The sequence below is a fragment of the Homo sapiens genome, chromosome X (genome assembly GCF_000001405.40).
Source record: "Homo sapiens chromosome X, GRCh38.p14 Primary Assembly".
NCBI classification, from domain to species: Eukaryota; Metazoa; Chordata; class Mammalia; order Primates; family Hominidae; genus Homo; species Homo sapiens.
The window spans coordinates 62,462,543-62,480,006 of NC_000023.11; the positions used below are offsets into that span (position 1 = coordinate 62,462,543).

Below are 17,464 nucleotides of genomic sequence, written 5' to 3' on the forward strand. Positions count from 1 at the left end.
GATCCCGTTTCCAGTGAAATCTTCAACGAGGTCCTCATATCCCCTTGCAGATTCCAAAGAAAGAGCGTTTCAAAACTGCTCCATCAAAAGGATTGTTTAACTCTGTGAGTTGAATGCAGTCATCACAGAAAACTTTCTGAGAATGCTTCTGTCTAGGTTTGATGTGAAGATATAGACGATTCAAACGAAGGCTACAAAGTGGTCAAAATATACACTTGCAGATTCTACTACAAGGGTGTTGCAAACCTGAACTATCAAAGGAAGGTTCAACTCTGTGAGTTGAATACAAACATCACAAGGAATGCTCTGAGTTTGCTTCCGTTCAGTTATGGGAAGTTGATCCCGTTTCCAACGAAATCCTCAGAGAGGTCCAAATATCCCCTTGCAGATTCTACAAAACGTGTGTTTGGAAACTGCTCCATCATAACGAATGTTCAGCTCTCTGAGTTAAACTCCATCGTCACAAAGAATTTTCTGAGAGTGCTACCGTCTAGTTTTTCTATGAAGTTCTTTCCTTTACTACCACAGGCCTCAAAGCGGTCCAAATCTCCACTTGCAGATTCTACAAAAAGAGCATTTGAAAACTGCTCTATCAAAAGGAATGTTCAACTCTGGGAGTTGAATGCAATCATCACAGAGCAGTTTCTGAGAATGCTTCTATGTCGTTTTTAGGAGAAGATATTTCCTTTTCCAACACAGTCCTCCAAGCCCGCTAAATATCCACTTGCACATTGTAGAAAATGTGTGTCGAAGCTGCGCTATCAAAGGGAAAGTTCAACTCTGTGAGGTGAATGCAAACATCCCAAAGAAGTTTCTGAGAATGCTTCCGTTTAGCTTTTAGGTGAAGATTATCCCGTTTCCAACGAAATCTTCAAAGAGGTCCAAATATCCCCTTGCGGATCCCACAGAAAGAGTGTTTCGAAACTGCTGTTTCAAAAGGAATCTTCAACTCTGTGAGTTGAATGCAATCATCACAAAGAAGTTTCCGACAATGCTTCTCTCTCGTCTTTCTGTGAAGATAAAGGAAAAGGCTTTCAGGCCTTTTCCACCACAGGCCTGAAAGCGCTCCAAATGTCCACTTGCAGATTCTGCCAAAAGAATATTTCAAAACTGCTCTATGAAAAGCAATGTTAAACTCTGCGGCTCGAACACAAACATCACAAAGCAGTTTCTGAGAATGCTTCAGTTCAGTTTTTCTGTGGAAATATTCCCTTTTCCAAAGAAATCTTCAAAGAGGTCCACGTATCCACTTACAGATTCTACAAAAAGACAGTTTCAAAACTGCTCAATCAAAAGGAGGGTTCAACTGTGTGACTTGAATGCAATCATCACTCAGAAGTTTCTGAGAATGCTTCTCTTTAGTTTTTACGTGAACATATACCCGTTTCGAACGAAGGCCACCCAGTGGTCCAAATATCCACTTGCAGATTCTACAGAAAGTGTGTTTCGAACCTGAACTCTCAAAGGCAGGTTCATCTCTGCGAGATAAATGCATTCATCATGAAGAACTTTCTCAGCGTGTTTGTGTTTAGTTATGGGAAATTATTCCCGTTTCCAACGAAATCCTCAGAGAGGTCCAAATATCAACCTGCAGATTCTACCAAAAGTGTATTTGGAAACTGCTCCATGAAAAGGCATGTTCAGCTCTGTGAGTGAAACTCCATCATCACAAAGAATATTCTGAGAATGCTTCCGTTTGCCTTTTATATGAAGTTCCTTCCTATACTACCATAGGCCTCAAAGCAGTCCAAATCTCCATTTGCAGATTCTACAAAAAGAGTGATTCCAATCTGCTTTATCAATAGGATTGTTCAACTCCATGAGTTGAATGCCATCCTCACAAAGTCGTTTCTGAGAATGCTTCTATCTAGTTTTTATGTGAAGATATTTCCTTTTCCACCACAGGCCTCAAAGCTCTCCAAACGTCCACTTGCAGATTCTCGAAAAAGAGTGTTTCCTAGCTGCTCTTTCAAAAGGAAAGTTCAACTCTGGGAGTTGAATACAAACATCACAAAGTAGTTTCCGAGAATGCTTCTGTTTAGTTCTTATGTGAAGATGATCCCGTTTCCAGGGAAATCTTCAAAGAGGTCCACATATCCCCTTGCAGATTCCAAAGAAAGAGGGTTTCAAAACTGCTCCATCAAAAGGATTGTACAACTCTGTGAGTTGAATGCAGTCATCGCAGAAAACTTTCTGAGAATGCTTCTGTCTAGGTTTGATGTGAAGATATAGACGTTTCAAACGAAGGCTACAAAGTGGTCAAAATATACACTTGCAGATTGTACTAAAAGGGTGTTGCAAACCTGAACTATCAAAGGAAGGTTCAACTCTGTGGGTTGAATACAAACATCGCAGAGAATGTTCTGAGTTTGCTTCCGTTCAGTTATGGGAAGTTGATCCCGTTTCCAACGAAATCCTCAGAGAGGTCCAAATATCCCCTTGCAGATTCTACAAAACGTGTGTTTGGAAACTGCTCCATCATAACGAATGTTCAGCTCCCAGAGTTAAACTCCATCGTCACAGAGAGATTTCTGAGAGTGCTACCGTCTAGTTTTTATATGAAGTTGTTTCCTTTACTAACACAGGCCTCAAAGCGGTCCAAATCTCCACTTGCAGATTCTACAAAAAGAGTGTTTCCAAACCGCTCTATCAAAAGGAATGTTCAACTCTGGGAGTTGAATGCAATCATCACAGAGCAGTTTCTGAGAATGCTTCTATGTCGTTTTTAGGAGAAGATATTTCCTTTTCCAACACAGTCCTCCAAGCCCGCTAAATATCCACTTGCACATTGTAGAAAAAGTGTGTCAAAGCTGCGCTATCAAAGGGAAAGTTCAACTCTGTGAGGAGAGTGAAAACATCCCAAAGAAGTTTCTGAGAATGCTTCCTTTCAGCTTTTAGGTGAAGATTATCCCGTTTCCAACGAAATCTTCAAAGAGGTCCAAATATCCCCTTGCGGATCCCACAGAAAGAGTGTTTCGAAACTGCTGTTTCAAAAGGAATCTTCAACTCTGTGAGTTGAATGCAATCATCACAAAGAAGTTTCCGACAATGCTTCTCTCTCGTCTTTCTGTGAAGATAAAGGAAAAGGCTTTCAGGCCTTTTCCACCACAGGCCTGAAAGCGCTCCAAATGTCCACTTGCAGATTCTGCCAAAAGAATATTTCAAAACTGCTCTATGAAAAGCAATGTTAAACTTGGCGGCTCGAACACAAACATCACAAAGCAGTTTCTGAGAATGCTTCAGTTTAGTTTTTCTGTGGAAATATTCCCGTTTCCAAAGAAATCTTCAAAGAGGTCCACGTATCCACTTACAGATTCTACAAAAAGACAGTTTCAAAACTGCTCAATCAAAAGGAGGGTTCAACTGTGTGACTTGAATGCAATCATCACTCAGAAGTTTCTGAGAATGTTTCTCTTTAGTTTTTACGTGAACATATACCCGTTTCGAACGAAGGCCACCCAGTGGTCCAAATATCCACTTGCAGATTCTACAGAAAGAGTGTTTCGAACCTGAACTCTCAAAGGCAGGTTCATCGCTGCGAGTTAAATGCATTCATGATGAAGAACATTCTCAGCGTGTTTGTGTTTAGTTATGGGAAATTATTCCCTTATCCAACGAAATCCTCAGAGAGCTCCAAATATCCACCTGCAGATTCTACCAGAAGTGTATTTGGAAACTGCTCCATCAAAAGGCATGTTCAGCTCTGTGAGTGAAACTCCATCATCACAAAGAATATTCTGAGAATGCGTCCGTTTGCCTTTTATATGAAGTTCCTTCCTGTACTACCGTAGGCCTCAAAGCAGTCCAAATCTCCATTTGCCGATTCTACAAAAAGAGTGATTCCAATGTGCTCTATCATTAGGATTGTTCAACTCCATGAGTTGAATGCCGTCCTCACAAAGTCGTTTCTGAGAATGCTTCTATCTAGTTTTTATGTGAAGATATTTCCTTTTCCACCACAGGCCTCAAAGCCCTCCAAACGTCCACTTGCAGATTCTCGAAAAAGATTGTTTCATAGCTGCTCTTTCAAAAGGAAAGTTCAACTCTGGGAGTTGAATACAAACATCACAAAGTCGTTTCCGAGAATGCTTCTGTTTAGTTCTTATGTGAAGATGATCCCGTTTCCAGTGAAATCTTCAACGAGGTCCACATATCCCCTTGCAGATTCCAAAGAAAGAGGGTTTCACAACTGCTCCATCAAAAGGATTGTTCAACTCTGTGAGTTGAATGCAGTCATCGCAGAAAACTTTCTGAGAATGCTTCTGTCTAGGTTTGATGTGAAGATATAGACGTTTCAAACGAAGGCTACAAAGTGTTCAAAATATACACTTGCAGATTCTACTACAAGGGTGTTGCAAACCTGAACTATCAAAGGAAGTTTCAACTCTGTGAGTTGAATACAAACATCACAAAGAATGCTCTGAGTTTGCTTCAGTTCAGTTATGGGAAGTTGATCCCGTTTCCAACGAAATCCTCCGAGAGGTCCAAATATCCCCTTGCAGATTCTACAAAACGTGTGTTTGGAAACTGCTCCATCATAACGAATGTTCAGCTCTCTGAGTTAAACTCCATCGTCACAAAGAATTTTCTGAGAGTGCTACCGTCTGGTTTTTATATGAAGTTATTTCCTTTACTACCACAGGCCTCAAAGCGGTCCAAATCTCCACTTGCAGATTCTACAAAAAGAGTGTTTGCAAACTGCTCTATCAAAAGGAATGTTCAACTCTGGGAGTTGAATGCAATCATCACAGAGCAGTTTCTGAGAATGCTTCTATGTCGTTTTTAGGAGAAGATATTTCCTTTTCCAACACAGTCCTCCAAGCCCGCTAAATATCCACTTGCACATTGTAGAAAAAGTGTGTCGAAGCTGCGCTATCAAAGGGAAAGTTCAACTCTGTGAAGTGAATGCAAACATCTCAAAAGAAGTTTCTGAGAATGCTTCCGTTTAGCTTTTAGGTGAAGATTATCCCGTTTCCAACGAAATGTTCAAAGAGGTCCAAATATCCCCTTGCGGATCCCACAGAAAGAGTGTTTCGAAACTGCTGTTTCAAAAGGAATCTTCAACTCTGTGAGTTGAATGCAATCATCACAAAGAAGTTTCCGACAATGCTTCTCTCTCGTCCTTCTATGAAGATAAAGGAAAAGTCTTTCAGGCCTTTTCCACCACAGGCCTGAAAGCACTCCAAATGTCCACTTGCAGATTCTGCCAAAAGAATATTTCAAAACTGCTCTATGAAAAGCAATGTTAAACTCTGCGGCTCGAACACAAACATCACAAAGCAGTTTCTGAGAATGCTTCAGTTTAGTTTTTCTGTGGAAATATTCCCGTTTCCAAAGAAATCTTCAAAGAGGTCCACGTATCCACTTACAGATTCCACAAAAAGACAGTTTCAAAACTGCTCCATCAAAAGGAGGGTTCAACTGTGTGACTTGAATGCAATCATCACTCAGAAGTTTCTGAGAATGCTTCTCTTTAGTTTTTACGTGAACATATACCCGTTTCGAACGAAGGCCACCCAGTGGTCCAAATATCCACTTGCAGATTCTACAGAAAGAGTGTTTCGAACCTGAACTCTCAAAGGCAGGTTCATCTCTGCGAGTTAAATGAATTCATCATGAAGAACTTTCTCAGAGTGTTTGTGTTTAGTTATGGGAAATTACTCCTTTTCCCAACGAAATCCTCAGAGAGGTCCAAATATCCACCTGCAGATTCTACCAAAAGTGTATTTGGAAACTGCTCCATCAAAAGGCATGTTCAGCTCTGTGAGCGAAACTCCATCATCACAAAGGATATTCTGAGAATGCTTCCGTTTGCCTTTTATATGAAGTTCCTTCCTATACTACCATAGGCCTCAAAGCAGTCCAAATCTCCATTTGCAGATTCTACAAAAAGAGTGATTCCAATCTGCTTTATCAATAGGATTGTTCAACTCCATGAGTTGAATGCCATCCTCACAAAGTCGTTTCTGAGAATGCTTCTATCTAGTTTTTATGTGAAGATATTTCCTTTTCCACCACAGGCCTCAAAGCTCTCCAAACGTCCACTTGCAGATTCTCGAAAAAGAGTGTTTCCTAGCTGCTCTTTCAAAAGGAAAGTTCAACTCTGGGAGTTGAATACAAACATCACAAAGTAGTTTCCGAGAATGCTTCTGTTTAGTTCTTATGTGAAGATGATCCCGTTTCCAGGGAAATCTTCAAAGAGGTCCACATATCCCCTTGCAGATTCCAAAGAAAGAGGGTTTCAAAACTGCTCCATCAAAAGGATTGTACAACTCTGTGAGTTGAATGCAGTCATCGCAGAAAACTTTCTGAGAATGCTTCTGTCTAGGTTTGATGTGAAGATATAGACGTTTCAAACGAAGGCTACAAAGTGGTCAAAATATACACTTGCAGATTGTACTAAAAGGGTGTTGCAAACCTGAACTATCAAAGGAAGGTTCAACTCTGTGGGTTGAATACAAACATCGCAGAGAATGTTCTGAGTTTGCTTCCGTTCAGTTATGGGAAGTTGATCCCGTTTCCAACGAAATCCTCAGAGAGGTCCAAATATCCCCTTGCAGATTCTACAAAACGTGTGTTTGGAAACTGCTCCATCATAACGAATGTTCAGCTCCCAGAGTTAAACTCCATCGTCACAGAGAGATTTCTGAGAGTGCTACCGTCTAGTTTTTATATGAAGTTGTTTCCTTTACTAACACAGGCCTCAAAGCGGTCCAAATCTCCACTTGCAGATTCTACAAAAAGAGTGTTTCCAAACCGCTCTATCAAAAGGAATGTTCAACTCTGGGAGTTGAATGCAATCATCACAGAGCAGTTTCTGAGAATGCTTCTATGTCGTTTTTAGGAGAAGATATTTCCTTTTCCAACACAGTCCTCCAAGCCCGCTAAATATCCACTTGCACATTGTAGAAAAAGTGTGTCAAAGCTGCGCTATCAAAGGGAAAGTTCAACTCTGTGAGGAGAGTGAAAACATCCCAAAGAAGTTTCTGAGAATGCTTCCTTTCAGCTTTTAGGTGAAGATTATCCCGTTTCCAACGAAATCTTCAAAGAGGTCCAAATATCCCCTTGCGGATCCCACAGAAAGAGTGTTTCGAAACTGCTGTTTCAAAAGGAATCTTCAACTCTGTGAGTTGAATGCAATCATCACCACGAAGTTTCTGACAATGCTTCTCCCTCGTCTTTCTGTGAAGATAAAGGAAAAGGCTTTCAGGCCTTTTCCACCACAGGCCTGAAAGCGCTCCAAATGTCCACTTGCAGATTCTGCCAAAAGAATATTTCAAAACTGCTCTATGAAAAGCAATGTTAAACTCTGCGGCTCGAACACAAACATCACAAAGCAGTTTCTGAGAATGCTTCAGTTTAGTTTTTCTGTGGAAATATTCCCGTTTCCAAAGAAATCCTCAAAGAGGTCCACGTATCCACTTACAGATCCTACAAAAAGACAGTTTCAAAACTGCTCCATCAAAAGGAGGGTTCAACTGTGTGACTTGAAAGCAATCATCACTCAGAAGTTTCTGAGAATGCTTCTCTTTAGTTTTTACGTGAACATATACCCGTTTCGAACGAAGGCCACCCAGTGGTCCAAATATCCACTTGCAGATTCTAGAGAAAGAGTGTTTCGAACATGAACTCTCAAAGGCAGGATCATCTCTGCGAGTTAAATGTATTCGTCATGAAGAACTTTCTCAGCGTGTTTGTGTTTAGTTATGGGAAATTACTCCCGTTTCCAACGAAATCCTCTGAGATGTCCAAATATCCACCTGCAGATTCTACCAAAAGTGTATTTGGAAACTGCTCCATCAACAGGCATGTTCAGCTCTGTGAGTGAAACTCCATCATCACAAAGAATATTCTGAGAATGCTTCCGTTTGCCTTTTATATGAAGTTCCTTCCTATACGACCGTAGGCCTCAAAGCAGTCCAAATCTCCATTTGCAGATTCTACAAAAAGAGTGATTCCAATCTGCTCTATCAATAGGATTGTTCAACTCCATGAGTTGAATGCCATCCTCACAAAGTCGTTTCTGAGAATGCTTCTATCTAGTTTTTATGTGAAGATATTTCCTTTTCCACCACAGGCCTCAAAGCCCTCCAAACGTCCACTTGCAGATTCTCGAAAAAGAGTGTTTCATAGCTGCTCTTTCAAAAGGGAAGTTCAACTCTGGGAGTTGAATACAAACATCACAAAGTAGTTTCCGAGAATGCTTCTGTTTAGTTCTTATGTGAAGATGATCCCGTTTCCAGTGAAATCTTCAAAGAGGTCCACATATCCCCTTGCAGATTCCAAAGAAAGAGGGTTTCAAAACTGCTCCATCAAAAGGATTGTTCAACTCTGTGAGTTGAATGCAGTCATCGCAGAAAACTTTCTGAGAATGCTTCTGTCTAGGTTTGATGTGAAGATATAGACGTTTCAAAAGAAGGCTACAAAGTGGTCAAAATATACACTTGCAGAATGTACTACAAGGGTGTTGCAAACCTGAACTATCAAAGAAAAGTTCAACTCTGTGGGTTGAATACAAACATCGCAGAGAATGTTCTGAGTTTGCTTCCGTTCAGTTATGGGAAGTTGATCCCGTTTCCTACGAAATCCTCAGAGAGGACCAAATATCCCCTTGAAGATTCTACAAAACGTGTGTTTGGAAACTGCTCCATCATAACGAATGTTCAGCTCCCTGAGTTAAACTCCAACGTCACAAAGAGTTTTCTGAGAGTGCTACCGTCCAGTTTTTATATGAAGTTCTTTCCTTTACTACCACAAGCCTCAAAGCGGTCCAAATCTCCACTTGCAGATTCTACAAAAAGAGTGTTTGCAAACCGCTCTATCAAAAGGAATGTTCAACTCTGGGAGTTGAATGCAATCATCACAGAGCAGTTTCTGAGAATGCTTCTATGTCGTTTTTAGGAGAAGATATTTCCTTTTCCAACACAGTCCTCCAAGCCCGCTAAATATCCACTTGCACATTGTAGAGAAATGTGTCGAAGCTGCGCTATCAAAGGGAAAGTTCAACTCTGTGAGGTGAATGCAAACATCCCAAAGAAGTTTCTGAGAATGCTTCCGTTCAGCTTTTAGGTGAAGATTATCCCGTTTCCAACGAAATCTTCAAAGAGGTCCAAATATCCCCTTGCGGATCCCACAGAAAGAGTGTTTCGAAACTGCTGTTTCAAAAGGAATCTTCAACTCTGTGAGTTGAATGCAATCATCACAAAGAAGTTTCTGACAATGCTTCTCCCTCGTCTTTCTGTGAAGATAAAAGAAAAGGCTTTCAGGCCTTTTCCACCACAGGCCTGAAAGTGCTCCAAATGTCCACTTGCAGATTCTGCCAAAAGAATATTTCAAAACTGCTCTATGAAAAGCAATGTTAAACTCTGCGGCTCGAACACAAACATCACAAAGCAGTTTCTGAGAATGCTTCAGTTTAGTTTTTCTGTGGAAATATTCCCGTTTCCAAAGAAATCTTCAAAGAGGTCCACGTATCCACTTACAGAATCTACAAAAAGACAGTTTCAAAACTGCTCAATCAAAAGGAGGGTTCAACTGTGTGACTTGAATGCAATCATCACTCAGAAGTTTCTGAGAATGCTTCTCTTTAGTTTTTACGTGAACATATACCCGTTTCGAACGAAGGCCACCCAGTGGTCCAAATATCCACTTGCAGATTCTACAGAAAGAGTGTTTCGAACCTGAACTCTCAAAGGCAGGTTCATCTCTGCGAGTTAAATGCATTCATCATGAAGAACTTTCTCAGAGTGTTTGTGTTTAGTTATGGGAAATTATTCCCGTTTCCAACGAAATCCTCAGAGAGGTCCAAATGTCCACCTGCAGATTCTACCAAAAGTGTATTTGGAAACTGCTCCATCAAAAGGCATGTTCAGCTCTGTGAGTGAAACTCCATCATCACAAAGAATATTCTGAGAATGCTTCCGTTTGCCTTTTATATGAAGTTCCTTCCTATACGACCGTAGGCCTCAAAGCAGTCCAAATCTCCATTTGCAGATTCTACAAAAAGAGTGATTCCAATCTGCTCTATCAATAGGATTGTTCAACTCCATGAGTTGAATGCCATCCTCACAAAGTCGTTTCTGAGAATGCTTCTATCTAGTTTTTATGTGAAGATATTTCCTTTTCCACCACAGGCCTCAAAGCCCTCCAAACGTCCACTTGCAGATTCTCGAAAAAGAGTGTTTCATAGCTGCTCTTTCAAAAGGGAAGTTCAACTCTGGGAGTTGAATACAAACATCACAAAGTAGTTTCCGAGAATGCTTCTGTTTAGTTCTTATGTGAAGATGATCCCGTTTCCAGTGAAATCTTCAAAGAGGTCCACATATCCCCTTGCAGATTCCAAAGAAAGAGGGTTTCAAAACTGCTCCATCAAAAGGATTGTTCAACTCTGTGAGTTGAATGCAGTCATCGCAGAAACCTTTCTGAGAATGATTCTGTCTAGGTTTGATGTGAAGATATAGACGTTTCAAACGAAGACTACAAAGTGGTCAAAATATACACTTGCAGATTGTACTACAAGGGTGTTGCAAACCTGAACTATCAAAGGAAGGTTCAACTCTGTGGGTTGAATACAAACATCGCAGAGAATGTTCTGAGTTTGCTTCCGTTCAGTTATGGGAAGTTGATCCCGTTTCCAACGAAATCCTCAGAGAGGTCCAAATATCCCCTTGCAGATTCTACAAAACGTGTGTTTGGAAACTGCTCCATCATAACGAATGTTCAGCTCCCTGAGTTAAACTCCATCGTCACAGAGAGATTTCTGAGAGTGCTACCGTCTAGTTTTTATATGAAGTTGTTTCCTTTACTACCACAGGCCTCAAAGCGGTCCAAATCTCCACTTGCAGATTCTACAAAAAGAGTGTTTCCAAACCGCTCTATCAAAAGGAATGTTCAACTCTGGGAGTTGAATGCAATCATCACAGAGCAGTTTCTGAGAATGCTTCTATGTCGTTTTTAGGAGAAGATATTTCCTTTTCCAACACAGTCCTCCAAGCCCGCTAAATATCCACTTGCACATTGTAGAAAAATGTGTCGAAGCTGCGCTATCAAAGGGAAAGTTCAACTCTGTGAGGTGAATGTAAACATCCCAAAGAAGTTTTTGAGAATGCTTCCTTTCAGCTTTTAGGTGAAGATTATCCCGTTTCCAACGAAATCTTCAAAGAGGTCCAAATATCCCCTTGCGGATCCCACAGAAAGAGTGTTTCGAAACTGCTGTTTCAAAAGGAATCTTCAACTCTGTGAGTTGAATGCAATCATCACCACGAAGTTTCTGACAATGCTTCTCCCTCGTCTTTCTGTGAAGATAAAGGAAAAGGCTTTCAGGCCTTTTCCACCACAGGCCTGAAAGCGCTCCAAATGTCCACTTGCAGATTCTGCCAAAAGAATATTTCAAAACTGCTCTATGAAAAGCAATGTTAAACTCTGCGGCTCGAACACAAACATCACAAAGCAGTTTCTGAGAATGCTTCAGTTTAGTTTTTCTGTGGAAATATTCCCGTTTCCAAAGAAATCCTCAAAGAGGTCCACGTATCCACTTACAGATTCTACAAAAAGACAGTTTCAAAACTGCTCAATCAAAAGGAGGGTTCAACTGTGTGACTTGAAAGCAATCATCACTCAGAAGTTTCTGAGAATGCTTCTCTTTAGTTTTTACGTGAACATATACCCGTTTCGAACGAAGGCCACCCAGTGGTCCAAATACCCACTTGCAGATTCTAGAGAAAGAGTGTTTCGAACATGAACTCTCAAAGGCAGGTTCATCTCTGCGAGTTAAATGTATTCGTCATGAAGAACTTTCTCAGAGTGTTTGTGTTTAGTTATGGGAAATTACTCCCGTTTCCAACGAAATCCTCTGAGAGGTCCAAATATCCACCTGCAGATTCTACCAAAAGTGTATTTGGAAACTGCTCCATCAACAGGCATGTTCAGCTCTGTGAGTGAAACTCCATCATCACAAAGAATATTCTGAGAATGCTTCCGTTTGCCTTTTATATGAAGTTCCTTCCTATACGACCATAGGCCTCAAAGCAGTCCAAATCTCCATTTGCAGATTCTACAAAAAGAGTGATTCCAATCTGCTCTATCAATAGGATTGTTCAACTCCATGAGTTGAATGCCATCCTCACAAAGTCGTTTCTGAGAATGCTTCTATCTAGTTTTTATGTGAAGATATTTCCCTTTCCACCACAGGCCTCAAAGCCCTCCAAACGTCCACTTGCAGATTCTCGAAAAAGAGTGTTTCATAGCTGCTCTTTCAAAAGGGAAGTTCAACTCTGGGAGTTGAATACAAACATCCCAAAGTAGTTTCCGAGAATGCTTCTGTTTAGTTCTTATGTGAAGATGATCCCGTTTCCAGTGAAATCTTCAAAGAGGTCCACATATCCCCTTGCAGATTCCAAAGAAAGAGGGTTTCAAAACTGCTCCATCAAAAGGATTGTTCAACTCTGTGAGTTGAATGCAGTCATCGCAGAAAACTTTCTGAGAATGCTTCTGTCTAGGTTTGATGTGAAGATATAGACGTTTCAAACGAAGGCTACAAAGTGGTCAAAATATACACTTGCAGAATGTACTACAAGGGTGTTGCAAACCTGAACTATCAAAGGAAGGTTCAACTCTGTGGGTTGAATACAAACATCGCAGAGAATGTTCTGAGTTTGCTTCCGTTCAGTTATGGGAAGTTGATCCCGTTTCCAACGAAATCCTCAGAGAGGACCAAATATCCCCTTGCAGATTCTACAAAACGTGTGTTTGGAAACTGCTCCATCATAACGAATGTTCAGCTCCCTGAGTTAAACTCCATCGTCACAAAGTGTTTTCTGAGAGTGCTACCGTCCAGTTTTTATATGAAGTTCTTTCCTTTACTACCACAAGCCTCAAAGCGGTCCAAATCTCCACTTGCAGATTCTACAAAAAGAGTGTTTGCAAACCGCTCTATCAAAAGGAATGTTCAACTCTGGGAGTTGAATGCAATCATCACAGAGCAGTTTCTGAGAATGCTTCTATGTCGTTTTTAGGAGAAGATATTTCCTTTTCCAACACAGTCCTCCAAGCCCGCTAAATATCCACTTGCACATTGTAGAGAAATGTGTCGAAGCTGCGCTATCAAAGGGAAAGTTCAACTCTGTGAGGTGAATGCAAACATCCCAAAGAAGTTTCTGAGAATGCTTCCGTTCAGCTTTTAGGTGAAGATTATCCCGTTTCCAACGAAATCTTCAAAGAGGTCCAAATATCCCCTTGCAGATCCCACAGAAAGAGTGTTTCGAAACTGCTGTTTCAAAAGGAATCTTCAACTCTGTGAGTTGAATGCAATCATCACAAAGAAGTTTCTGACAATGCTTCTCCCTCGTCTTTCTGTGAAGATAAAGGAAAAGGCTTTCAGGCCTTTTCCACCACAGGCCTGAAAGTGCTCCAAATGTCCACTTGCAGATTCTGCCAAAAGAATATTTCAAAACTGCTCTATGAAAAGCAATGTTAAACTCTGCGGCTCGAACACAAACATCACAAAGCAGTTTCTGAGAATGCTTCAGTTTAGTTTTTCTGTGGAAATATTCCCGTTTCCAAAGAAATCTTCAAAGAGGTCCACGTATCCACTTACAGAATCTACAAAAAGACAGTTTCAAAACTGCTCAATCAAAAGGAGGGTTCAACTGTGTGACTTGAATGCAATCATCACTCAGAAGTTTCTGAGAATGCTTATCTTTAGTTTTTACGTGAACATATACCCGTTTCGAACGAAGGCCACCCAGTGGTCCAAATATCCACTTGCAGATTCTACAGAAAGAGTGTTTCGAACCTGAACTCTCAAAGGCAGGTTCATCTCTGCGAGTTAAATGCATTCATCATGAAGAACTTTCTCAGAGTGTTTGTGTTTAGTTATGGGAAATTATTCCCTTTTCCAACGAAATCCTCAGAGAGCTCCAAATATCCTCCTGCAGATTCTACCAAAACTGTATTTGGCAACTGCTCCATCAAAAGTCATGTTCAGCTCTGTGAGTGAAACTCCATCATCACAAAGAATATTCTGAGAATGCTTCCGTTTGCCTTTTATATGAAGTTCCTTCCTGTACTACCGTAGACCTCAAAGCAGTCCAAATCTCCATTTGCAGATTCTACAAAAAGAGTGATTCCAATCTGCTCTATCAATAGGATTGTTCAACTCCATGAGTTGAATGCCATCCTCACAAAGTCGTTTCTGAGAATGCTTCTATCTAGTTTTTATGTGAAGATATTTCCTTTTCCACCACAGGCCTCAAAGCCCTCCAAACGTCCGCTTGCAGATTCTCGAAAAAGAGTGTTTCATAGCTGCTCTTTCAGAAGGAAAGTTCAACTCTGGGAGTTGAATACAACCATCACAAAGTAGTTTCCGAGAATGCTTCTGTTTAGTTCTTATGTGAAGATGATCCCGTTTCCAGTGAAATCTTCAAAGAGGTCCACATATCCCCTTGCAGATTCCAAAGAAAGAGGGTTTCAAAACTGCTCCATCAAAAGGATTGTTCAACTCTGTGAGTTGAATGCAGTCATCGCAGAAAACTTTCTGAGAATGCTTCTGTCTAGGTTTGATGTGAAGATATAGACGTTTCAAATGAAGGCTACAAAGTGGTCAAAATATACACTTGCAGATTCTACTACAAGGGTGTTGCAAACCTGAACTATCAAAGGAAGGTTCAACTCTGTGAGTTGAATACAAACATCACAAAGAATGTTCTGAGTTTGCTTCCGTTCAGTTATGGGAAGTTGATCCCGTTTCCAACGAAATCCTCAGAGAGGTCCAAATATCCCCTTGCAGATTCTGCAAAACGTGTGTTTGGAAACTGCTCCATCATAACGAATGTTCAGCTCTCTGAGTTAAACTCCATCGTCACAAAGAATTTTCTGAGAGTGCTACCGTCTAGTTTTTATATGAAGTTCTTTCCTTTACTACCACAGGCCTCAAAGCGGTCCAAATCTCCACTTGCAGATTCTACAAAAAGAGTGTTTGCAAACTGCTCTATCAAAAGGAATGTTCAACTCTGGGAGTTGAATGCAATCATCACAGAGCAGTTCCTGAGAATGCTTCTATGTCGTTTTTAGGAGAAGATATTTCCTTTTCCACCATAGTCCTCCAAGCCCGCTAAATATCCACTTGCACATTGTAGAAAAAGTGTGTCGAAGCTGCGCTATCAAAGGGAAAGTTCAACTCTGTGAGGTGAATGCAAACATCCCAAAGAAGTTTCTGAGAATGCTTCCGTTTAGCTTTTAGGTGAAGATTATCCCGTTTCCAACGAAATCTTCAAAGAGGTCCAAATATCCCCTTGCGGATCCCACAGAAAGAGTGTTTCGAAACTGCTGTTTCAAAAGGAATCTTCAACTCTGTGAGTTGAATGCAATCATCACAAAGAAGTTTCTGACAATGCTTCTCTCTCGTCTTTCTGTGAAGATAAAGGAAAAGGCTTTCAGGCCTTTTCCACCACAGGCCTGAAAGCGCTCCAAATGTCCACTTGCAGATTCTGCCAAAAGAATATTTCAAAACTGCTCTATGAAAAGCAATGTTAAACTCTGCGGCTCGAACACCAACATCACAACGCAGTTTCTGAGAATGCTTCAGTTTAGTTTTTCTGTGGAAATATTCCCCTTTCCAAAGAAATCTTCAAAGAGGTCCACGTATCCACTTACAGATTCTACAAAAAGACAGTTTCAAAACTGCTCAAACAAAAGGCGGGTTCAACTGTGTGACTTGAATGCAATCATCACTCAGAAGTTTCTGAGAATGCTTCTCTTTAGTTTTTACGTGAACATATACCCGTTTCGAACGAAGGCCACCCAGTGGTCCAAATATCCACTTGCAGATTCTACAGAAAGAGTGTTTCGAACCTTAACTCTCAAAGGCAGGTTCATCTCTGCGAGTTAAATGCATTCATCATGAAGAACTTTCTCAGAGTGTTTGTGTTTAGTTATGGGAAATTATTCCCGTTTCCAACGAAATCCTCCGAGAGGTCCAAATATCCACCTGCAGATTCTACCAAAAGTGTATTTGGAAACTGCTCCATCAAAAGGCATGTTCAGCTCTGTGAGTGAAACTCCATCATCACAAAGAATATTCTGAGAATGCTTCCGTTTGCCTTTCATATGAAGTTCCTTCCTATACTACCGTAGGCCTCAAAGCAGTCCAAATCTCCATTTGCAGATTCTACAAAAAGAGTGATTCCAATCTGCTCTATCAATAGGATTGTTCAACTCCATGAGTTGAATGCCTTCCTCACAAAGTCGTTTCTGAGAATGCTTCTATCTAGTTTTTATGTGAAGATATTTCCTTTTCCACCACAGGCCTCAAAGCCCTCCAAACATCCACTTGCATATTCTCGAAAAAGAGTGTTTCATAGCTGCTCTTTCAAAAGGAAAGTTCAACTCTGGGAGTTGAATACAAACATCACAAAGTAGTTTCCGAGAATGCTTCTGTTTAGTTCTTATGTGAAGATGATCCCGTTTCCAGTGAAATCTTCAAAGAGGTCCCCATATCCCCTTGCAGATTCCAAAGAAAGAGGGTTTCAAAACTGCTCCATCAAAAGGATTGTTCAACTCTGTGAGTTGAATGCAGTCATCGCAGAAAACTTTCTGAGAATGCTTCTGTCTAGGTTTGATGTGAAGATATAGACGTTTCAAACGAAGGCTACAAAGTGGTCAAAATATACACTTGCAGATTCTACTACAAGGGTGTTGCAAACCTGAACTATCAAAGGAAGGTTCAACTCTGTGAGTTGAATACAAACATCACAAAGAATGTTCTGAGTTTGCTTCCGTTCAGTTATGGGAAGTTGATCCCGTTTGCAACGAAATCCTCAGAGAGGTCCAAATATCCCCTTGCAGATTCTGCAAAACGTGTGTTTGGAAACTGCTCCATCATAACGAATGTTCAGCTCTCTGAGTTAAACTCCATCGTCACAAAGAATTTTCTGAGAGTGCTACCGTCTAGTTTTTATATGAAGTTCTTTCCTTTACTACCACAGGCCTCAAAGCGGTCCAAATCTCCACTTGCAGATTCTACAAAAAGAGTGTTTGCAAACTGCTCTATCAAAAGGAATGTTCAACTCTGGGAGTTGAATGCAATCATCACAGAGCAGTTCCTGAGAATGCTTCTATGTCGTTTTTAGGAGAAGATATTTCCTTTTCCAACACAGTCCTCCAAGCCCGCTAAATATCCACTTGCACATTGTAGAAAAAGTGTGTCGAAGCTGCGCTATCAAAGGGAAAGTTCAACTCTGTGAGGTGAATGCAAACATCCCAAAGAAGTTTCTGAGAATGCTTCCGTTTAGCTTTTAGGTGAAGATTATCCCGTTTCCAACGAAATCTTCAAAGAGGTCCAAATATCCCCTTGCGGATCCCACAGAAAGAGTGTTTCGAAACTGCTGTTTCAAAAGGAATCTTCAACTCTGTGAGTTGAATGCAATCATCACAAAGAAGTTTCTGACAATGCTTCTCTCTCGTCTTT

At 40.7% G+C, this 17,464-nt stretch overlaps 11 annotated features.

Moving 5' to 3' along the window:
• Positions 101-1,068: an enhancer, noted in NCBI's record as "OCT4-NANOG-H3K27ac-H3K4me1 hESC enhancer chrX:61682015-61682982 (GRCh37/hg19 assembly coordinates)". NCBI's record gives its function as "activates a minimal SCP1, AML or CMV promoter by ChIP-STARR-seq in primed H9 embryonic stem cells {active_cell/tissue: H9 hESC(primed)}" and the evidence as "EXISTENCE:reporter gene assay evidence [ECO:0000049][PMID:30033119]".
• Positions 971-1,938: an enhancer, noted in NCBI's record as "OCT4-NANOG-H3K27ac-H3K4me1 hESC enhancer chrX:61682983-61683950 (GRCh37/hg19 assembly coordinates)". NCBI's record gives its function as "activates a minimal SCP1, AML or CMV promoter by ChIP-STARR-seq in primed H9 embryonic stem cells {active_cell/tissue: H9 hESC(primed)}" and the evidence as "EXISTENCE:reporter gene assay evidence [ECO:0000049][PMID:30033119]".
• Positions 2,907-3,874: an enhancer, noted in NCBI's record as "OCT4-NANOG-H3K27ac-H3K4me1 hESC enhancer chrX:61684919-61685886 (GRCh37/hg19 assembly coordinates)". NCBI's record gives its function as "activates a minimal SCP1, AML or CMV promoter by ChIP-STARR-seq in primed H9 embryonic stem cells {active_cell/tissue: H9 hESC(primed)}" and the evidence as "EXISTENCE:reporter gene assay evidence [ECO:0000049][PMID:30033119]".
• Positions 3,875-4,842: an enhancer, noted in NCBI's record as "OCT4-NANOG-H3K27ac-H3K4me1 hESC enhancer chrX:61685887-61686854 (GRCh37/hg19 assembly coordinates)". NCBI's record gives its function as "activates a minimal SCP1, AML or CMV promoter by ChIP-STARR-seq in naive and primed H9 embryonic stem cells {active_cell/tissue: H9 hESC(naive and primed)}" and the evidence as "EXISTENCE:reporter gene assay evidence [ECO:0000049][PMID:30033119]".
• Positions 4,843-5,810: an enhancer, noted in NCBI's record as "OCT4-NANOG-H3K27ac-H3K4me1 hESC enhancer chrX:61686855-61687822 (GRCh37/hg19 assembly coordinates)". NCBI's record gives its function as "activates a minimal SCP1, AML or CMV promoter by ChIP-STARR-seq in primed H9 embryonic stem cells {active_cell/tissue: H9 hESC(primed)}" and the evidence as "EXISTENCE:reporter gene assay evidence [ECO:0000049][PMID:30033119]".
• Positions 6,779-7,744: an enhancer, noted in NCBI's record as "OCT4-NANOG-H3K27ac-H3K4me1 hESC enhancer chrX:61688791-61689756 (GRCh37/hg19 assembly coordinates)". NCBI's record gives its function as "activates a minimal SCP1, AML or CMV promoter by ChIP-STARR-seq in naive H9 embryonic stem cells {active_cell/tissue: H9 hESC(naive)}" and the evidence as "EXISTENCE:reporter gene assay evidence [ECO:0000049][PMID:30033119]".
• Positions 7,745-8,712: an enhancer, noted in NCBI's record as "OCT4-NANOG-H3K27ac-H3K4me1 hESC enhancer chrX:61689757-61690724 (GRCh37/hg19 assembly coordinates)". NCBI's record gives its function as "activates a minimal SCP1, AML or CMV promoter by ChIP-STARR-seq in primed H9 embryonic stem cells {active_cell/tissue: H9 hESC(primed)}" and the evidence as "EXISTENCE:reporter gene assay evidence [ECO:0000049][PMID:30033119]".
• Positions 9,681-10,648: an enhancer, noted in NCBI's record as "OCT4-NANOG-H3K27ac-H3K4me1 hESC enhancer chrX:61691693-61692660 (GRCh37/hg19 assembly coordinates)". NCBI's record gives its function as "activates a minimal SCP1, AML or CMV promoter by ChIP-STARR-seq in naive and primed H9 embryonic stem cells {active_cell/tissue: H9 hESC(naive and primed)}" and the evidence as "EXISTENCE:reporter gene assay evidence [ECO:0000049][PMID:30033119]".
• Positions 10,649-11,616: an enhancer, noted in NCBI's record as "OCT4-NANOG-H3K27ac-H3K4me1 hESC enhancer chrX:61692661-61693628 (GRCh37/hg19 assembly coordinates)". NCBI's record gives its function as "activates a minimal SCP1, AML or CMV promoter by ChIP-STARR-seq in naive and primed H9 embryonic stem cells {active_cell/tissue: H9 hESC(naive and primed)}" and the evidence as "EXISTENCE:reporter gene assay evidence [ECO:0000049][PMID:30033119]".
• Positions 12,585-13,552: an enhancer, noted in NCBI's record as "OCT4-NANOG-H3K27ac-H3K4me1 hESC enhancer chrX:61694597-61695564 (GRCh37/hg19 assembly coordinates)". NCBI's record gives its function as "activates a minimal SCP1, AML or CMV promoter by ChIP-STARR-seq in naive H9 embryonic stem cells {active_cell/tissue: H9 hESC(naive)}" and the evidence as "EXISTENCE:reporter gene assay evidence [ECO:0000049][PMID:30033119]".
• Positions 15,487-16,454: an enhancer, noted in NCBI's record as "OCT4-NANOG-H3K27ac-H3K4me1 hESC enhancer chrX:61697499-61698466 (GRCh37/hg19 assembly coordinates)". NCBI's record gives its function as "activates a minimal SCP1, AML or CMV promoter by ChIP-STARR-seq in primed H9 embryonic stem cells {active_cell/tissue: H9 hESC(primed)}" and the evidence as "EXISTENCE:reporter gene assay evidence [ECO:0000049][PMID:30033119]".